The sequence below is a fragment of the Homo sapiens genome, chromosome 5 (genome assembly GCF_000001405.40).
Source record: "Homo sapiens chromosome 5, GRCh38.p14 Primary Assembly".
NCBI lineage: Eukaryota > Metazoa > Chordata > Mammalia > Primates > Hominidae > Homo > Homo sapiens.
This window is the reverse complement of record NC_000005.10, coordinates 30,039,635-30,047,117: the sequence shown is the minus strand read 5'-3', so window position 1 is coordinate 30,047,117 and position 7,483 is coordinate 30,039,635. Positions and strand designations below refer to the sequence as shown.

The window sequence follows — 7,483 nt, the reverse complement described above, 5'->3', positions numbered from 1 at the left end:
GTAGCAGCAAATGGGACATGGCCAGCCTCTGTCCTACCACGTCCAGGAATTAAAACTTTGGAGACTTTTAGCCAAAAGAGGGTCCATTAGTCTGTTGAAGAAGTGTAGGACTTTTATTTTAGTCTTCAGCTTATTCCTTGCTTCTAAAGAAGTGAAGGTTTGGTTTGGTTTTGGAAATATACTGTCATGCTTACTTCTGAATTGGCCATAATGAATTGAAATCTGTTTTTCTTCCTCCCATCCTTTTATAAGAACATTTTTGTTTTGCTTGCCAGCATTTGAAGAGGAATGAAAGTATAGTTCATAAGGTAAGAAAGAGTAGGAAATTCCTTCCTTAAGTTGTCATGTTATCTGTCTGGCCACCTGGCCTGCATTCTGACACAAGAGAGAGCAGTTTAGTTTATTATTTAAAGCTGAACACATCAGTTCTTCAAAAGAAGTATAAGAATCTAAAGGAAGAACCTCATTGCAGACAAAAAATTACTGTGACCCTGAGACAAGTTTCATTAATAGTGAACTAAGCTCATTTCAAATGCCTTTTCATATTAAGACAGCAGGTCATGTTGAAAGTAAAACTACAGGGAGAAATTGTGACATCTTTAAAGATGGATATTTTTGAAAAACATGACTATTGAGGGTTATTTGGTTTATTTCCAAAATGACAATGTCCTACATGTTAGAAACAGCAACCTAAAATGTGAGAAAAATATCTTTAAAAGTTTTACTTAAATGTTCTTCTTAAAGGGTAAGTTATTCATCTGTGCAATAAAACACAGATCTATGATGAGCAATGGTTTAATTTTTTCTCCTTCCTTCCCTCTCCTCTCCATTAAAAAATACTGCAAACCATTTCTATTTAAAAAGAAGCCAATTCCATCAAATGGACTGTTTGCTTCCTGGGGTGTATTACAATGTAGCATATAATATGGAATCAATAAATGAAAAATGCTTACAAAATAGGATACAAACAAGAGCCAACACTTACATAGTGTTTACTATGTGCAAGGCACTATTCTAAGCATTTTACAAGTATTAATTCATGTAATTGGTACAACAGATAGGAACATTGTTTCTTGGATTTATACAAAACAAGTCAAATAACTTACTTAGATGTACACAGTAGATCTGGCAGGAATAATCATGCTAGTAGTGAAATTTCACTTTTATGTGTTTATCCAACGCTTAGATTAAAATTAATTGGGGCCCTGTGTTTGCAAATAACAAAACAAATTCAAGAAATAAAAGGTGAAGTACTAAAAAAATGGACCACAAACAAAGTCAGGAAGTACTCAAGAAGGGATTGAAGCTATGCCATAAAAGCACGTAGAAGTTCATTTCCATTTTCATTTTTCTTTCTCTCCTTTGCTTAAATCTTTGTTCTCTCTGGACTAGTCTTCTCTGTTCCCCTGTTCTCATAGTTGATAGAAGCTAGCCACCACTTAGTGATAGATGCTGGCCACCTATTCTCATAGTTGATAGATGCTGGCCACCACTAGTCTTCTCTGTTCCCCTATTCTCATAGTTGATAGATGCTAGCTCCTGCAGGCCACTATCTTTCATAACCAATCCATATGAACAGTCCTCATTTTACATTTTTATGCTGGGCAATTAGATTGGTTAAATTTAGGTTATGTATCCACCTCTGTCAAAACAGTTCTAATGTTAATAACTTCACTTTCAAATATCTTTGAATAAAAGAAGTAGAACCAAGGGACTGTAAAATGTCGTGATTTCAGTAACTAGAATCTTCCTGTATAAACTGATGTATCTGTAATATATTATTAATTCAAACTCGTGACAACATTATACCAAGCTGATCATCTCCTGCTATGCAAAATATGTATTGAGACAAAGGAACATAAAAAATGAAAATAAGAAGATATTATTTGATTTCCAAACCTCTTTCCTGCATAAAAATATTATATGAGCCAGAAAAACTCAATAATATGAGGAAATATTTATGATTATTTTAAACTCATATATGTAATTTATTTGATTGACATAAAGTTTTGTAATGCATTTTGAAATAGCTGCCAATGTGTGAACAACAAGCTTTTCATTAAAATTCTGTTTTCGTGTTCATTGTTCTTTGTTTGTATGCAAACTCTTAGTTGCCTGAAAAGTAAATTTCAATATTACATATATCTGATAAAAAGTAATTAGGTAGAATTTGAACAGACCAGCTATGGTACCTGCATTTAGCACATATCTAGATGAGATACTTTCAGAGCTTACTCTCAAGTTCAAGTGATTCTCCCACCTCAGCCTTCTGAGATGCTGGGATTACAGACATGAGCCACTGTGCCCAGCCCTTCAGTCACTCTTTTGTGCTTTGTAACTTATACACATGTCATATATATATGTCAAATATCTCAAAATAAGAACATAAAACTAAAAAGAAATACATTGGTTTTAGAGCCTAATATAAAATAAAATACTGTTTCATAAACTAACCTGAGTACAAAGGTACCCCAATGTCTAAATCCTTGTCTCTCAGGGAGCCATATGTTCCTAAAGTTTCTGAAAGTTTCCTCTTCCTTCTTCTTTTACCTCCCCTTCTTTCTCTCTCCTTCTCTTCTTCTTCCTTTTTATCCTCCTTCTTAGTTATTGTCCTGAAAAAGTTTTAAGTATACGCATCTACTTCAATTATAGGTTTAAACAATTAGTACTAGTCTGTTCTGCATCCTTCCAATGACTAACTTAGGACTACAGAGTCAATTATAACTATAATGGCTGCATTATAGTATGAGTTCAGTAAATGGATTTACCTTTATGTTTATGATTCATTGAATTAACAAATCATTTTACTCTTTTATGTTTTCAGGTTAAGGTGGAAAAAACAGAGGCCAACAAATAATTAAATAATATATTGTTGCTACACCAAGACCATGGAACCCCATTGAATACTGTATAAATTCAGTTGTTTGAACAGGAAAATTAAAGCTGTTGAAAGAATGGAAGCATCACATACCAGACACTAAAGGAAGTATGCTAAATTCAACAAAACCCACGCCAATGTAGCAACACTTTTGTTTGTTTTGTTTTGTTTTTGAGATGGAGTTTTGCTCTTGTTGCCCAGGCTGGAATGCAATGGTGTAATCTTGGCTCACTGCAAACTCTGCCTCCTGGGTCCAGGCGATTCTCCTGCCTCAGCCTCCCCAGTAGCTGGGATTACAGGCGCCCACCACCATGCCAGATAACTTTTTTTTGGTATTTTTAGTAGATATGGGGTTTCACCATGTTGGCCAGGCTGTTCTTGAACTCCTGACCTCAGGTGATCCACCGCCTCAGCCTCCCAAAGTGCTGGGATTACAGAAGTGAGCCACCACACCCAGCCTGTTTTTGTGTTTTAAGTGGGGATTTAGTTTCAGCAAACCATCAAACCTTTATATTAATATGATATTATGTTAATTTATCATCTAATTCATCAATATTTTAATGTTTATACTTAATTAGTAACTTTTTGATATTGCATTTGTATAAATAATATATTAGAGAATTGATTACTAGTTTCATGTTTTTGTGTAATTAACTTTATAATTAAATAATTTGTCATCACTGAAAGAAAGTGAAATATTTTTCTCTTAAATGCTATGACTATGTCTTTGAGATCACCAAATTGTGCCATGAAAAGCTCAGATAATTTTTAAAGTGATTTATTTCTGTTGGCTTGAATTTTCATTTGAAATTCTGAGGAAATCAGTAACTGAATAAAAATTTACATCTCAAATCATAGCTAGGACTTACTGTAAGCAACTTAAACCAACATTAAGTAGCAGATCAGAAGGCAAACATGATTATGCTCCTGCATTGAATATTTTACAATGCTACTTTTAAACTTTTCTAATAAGGCTTGGAGGATACCAAATGAACTTTTCCTTAGAAAGGTTATATCACTATTTCTGTTAAATCTGACTAATGTTTGTTATTCTTGCACAGCGTGTTAGCTCACTGCATACAGGTGGGTGTCACGGGATACGCAGAGTGTTGCTTTGCCAGCCGGAAGCTTCCGTAGCTGGTGGCGCCTTTGCCTCAGTTTTGCTCAGGCACATTGGGCTCGTTCTACCCATTCAGCTTGTCAGGCTGTGCTCAGCTTGTGATACTGGCCCAGATCCCACACCTGCCAAGGGCAAGCAAGGCACAAAGCGGTGAGGGGAGAGTGAGTGAGCGAGCGTGGGGTCCAGCTGCGGCTCACAGCGAGGCACTCTGGCTGCCGCAGGTGGACAGCTCCAGGTGCCAGCACGGGAGCCAGCTCCCTGTGAGGCTGCAGCTGGACCAGGCGTACCACAAGCAGCTTCCACTGCTGGCACTGGGCAATGCAGTGGTGCCCAGAAGTTTGACGATGCCAGGAACCACATTGCCCCAAAGGGGGTGTCACAGCCCTGGCTCAAGGAGCTCCTATGTCTGGGCTCCCAAAAGGGCTGCAGCTCTTCTCTTTTTCCCTCTTCTCTCCTTCTCTTCACCCACAACGTGGTGAGCAAGGGGTGTGTTTCAGCTTTGTTTGTGTTACAGTTCTTTCAGTCACACTATTCAGCAGGTTCTGAATTCTTGTCCATGTCCAGGAAGAATGAAGTATGCAAATAACTGGAGAGTGAGCTAGGCAAAGAGGTATTTTATTAAGCGATAGTACAGTTCTCAGGAGACCTGAAGTGGGTAGCGCCTTTTACAGGCAGGTCATCTCATCATCTCCCTGTGGCTGATTCTGGGGTTTCTACAGGTTTCAGAGGGGAGAAAACACGTGCTGCATAGTCCATGGGTGACCATGGGCAGGCCTGGTAAAAGCACTGTAAGTTCTCACTCCAGTCCACAGAACTGGCAGCCCAGCCCCATGCTTCAGTACCTCCCTGGCTTGAAGGTGGGGCTTTACTGGGGACCTGCCCCTTTTTGCCCTGGAGACTGTCTGCCTCCTACGACCATAAACCTGCTATCCATAGTGCCAGTGGCTCCCAGGCTATTCGTGCTGAAGGATACCTGCATGCCCACATTTAGCTGCCCTCAGCCCCCCCCTCAGCCTCACTCCCATGGTCATTGGTGCCCAAAGCTCAGAGGGCACGAAGGTGACAGGGTGCTGGTGTGTCAGTGCTGTCCTGAGCACATGCACACCTGGCTGGGTGGTGACAGCATCCTGACTCAACCTCAATTTTGCTTTGAAATTGAATCGGGCACTGGGAGTAGGGTGAGGCCATGCAGTGGAAGCAGGCACTTCTGAATCTGTGGGGGGCAGGGGACTTCCCAGGTCCCCTAGAGTGCAGGGATACCTGGGTCCACAGCCGCGGCTGGGTGACTGCATCTGTGCCCAGGAGGGCGGTGCTCCTGCCCCACCAACTCAGAAACAGGAGGGGTTTCTGCCTGTTCCTGGCTCCACCAGCTGGAGTGCGCAGCCCTGACTAGGCCTCCCCCGCCACAGACAGCATCTTCACAGTGGCTGCTCTAGATGGGCCCCACTGCCGTCATTGGTACCTACAAGATATTTATGTTTATTTTATGAGTGAATAAATGAATGAACAAGTCCTGCAGGAAACTATTTTATAATAAGCAGAATTGCTCTCTTTCAATAGAACACCTATTCCAGGATTGTAAGTGTCAGAAACAGATTGTCTCTTTTGGCCTGTGCCTGATTCTTTTATGCTTCACTGAATCTCCTGGCATGTTCTTGCTCAAATGCTTCTCCTAAGTGCATCTAGATATAGTTAAGTATGCAAGATGCCTTATGAAGCCAGTGTCATTTCACTATTATATGATTAAAATTTTGTAAGTAACAGCTTGTTAATTTTATAATAAGAGCTTACTAATTTCGAGATTTCATAAATGACTCCAACGTGTAGTTGATATAAATGTATTTCTACTATAGTACATCTACATCTATAAATGTATATTTACTATACATCTAAAAAGTATAGTAAATATAAAATTCCAGGGCAAATCACCATGTGTGGAATATACAAAGTAAATATAAGATAATAATACAATTGGTATCAGGGTTGGGATTCATTCACCTCAAGTATGTAAGAAAGGCAAGAGAAAGAAAAAGGAGAGAAGTTTTTTTTATTGAAGATATTGGGAAGAAGATATCTTTAGATAAGAATATGATGTGATATTCATTTCCTCTCCTACAGAGAGGAGGGCTTGATCCCTGGACTCAAACATTCTTCTGGGGTGTGGACTCTCACAGAGATCTATGCAGAGCTTAATATACAATTCTTTCATCTAGGAGGCAGAACGAACTAAGTCTGACTCTCACCTCGGAACCCTTGCACAAGAGAAAAGGACTTAATATATCTCTTTAGAGAAGGTCACTGCTTTGGGATGGGCCTGCACTCCCTGGATGTGTTTTAACAATGAATGCTTTTACGGTTCTCTCGTAGTGGACTTGAACTGTGCAAAGAGCAAGCCATCTTGACTTTTGTCCAATAGCGCCACCTGGAGTCATGGAGGGAACTTAGCAGCAAAAAGCTAAAGATGCATCCCCAGAGCTCGGGAAAGAGTGGTCAAGATCAGTTAGAATAGAGGTTAATTTGCCATGGTCAAGAGAATGGCAAAAGAGAAGAGGCTAGCAGCAAACCTCAGAAGAATTCACAGAAGAAGCTCTCCCCAAATGTATGTCATGCCCCTAGTGCTCAATGATAGTTAAAACAAGAAATGCCATTAATTTGAAAATAGTGTCTATAAAAGAAGGCAGGAGAGGGATTTTTTTAAATAAGAGAACTTTAAAAATAAAAAATTCACTATACCCGTTTTTAATCCTGAAGGCTTACAGCTTAAAACAGGCTGGTTTGAATGGATTAGAAATATGCTATTAAATTCAAATTCAGAGTTGAAATTAATATATTGGATTGAACATTCTAATTACTAAATTGTGTCTGTGATAACAATAAAAGTGCCTCTAGAACAATTGTATTTATAAGTGAGAAGAAACGCCCCGACAGTTACTTCACTAAGTATATTTTAAAAAGGCAGTGAGTGACAAAAACAAATTTGGATATATTAAAAGGGATTCTTCAACATACAGGTGATGTAAGAACATGTAAAGCTTTTCTTACATAATTTATTTTTCTACTCTGCACTGTCAAGACAGGGGACTTTTTCTTTGACACGGTTAAGTGTGGTTTTATTTCTGTTTCCTCTAATTTGTTGTCTAAATTCTGTGGCCTAGCCAAAGCTGAGAGTAAGGGCAAATATCACTATCACAACGATTCTGTTAATAAGGATCAACATATGTTTAATAAACATTATTATGAAACTGTGCATGGATTTCAATATTTTTTGCACCAAATTAAACTCATACTCACTTGTTACTGTGTCCTAAAGGGACCTAGTTTTAGGCATTAAGAAGGATGACATCAGTTTGAGAACAGCCCCTATCACAGCATCATGCTTTCTGCTAAAATTGAGACAAAAATAAACATTAAACCTGGGTTAAAGAATGGGAAAATCACTGATGCTTTTTGAAAAGTTTATGGAGACAAAGAAATCAGCAGTTTAC

General features: G+C 38.8%; 1 annotated feature.

Moving 5' to 3' along the window:
• Positions 6,282 to 6,576: an enhancer, noted in NCBI's record as "tiled region #5569; HepG2 Activating non-DNase unmatched - State 12:CtcfO, and K562 Activating DNase matched - State 12:CtcfO". NCBI's record gives its function as "activates a minimal TATA promoter and a strong SV40 promoter by Sharpr-MPRA in HepG2 and K562 cells {active_cell/tissue: HepG2 | K562}" and the evidence as "EXISTENCE:reporter gene assay evidence [ECO:0000049][PMID:27701403]".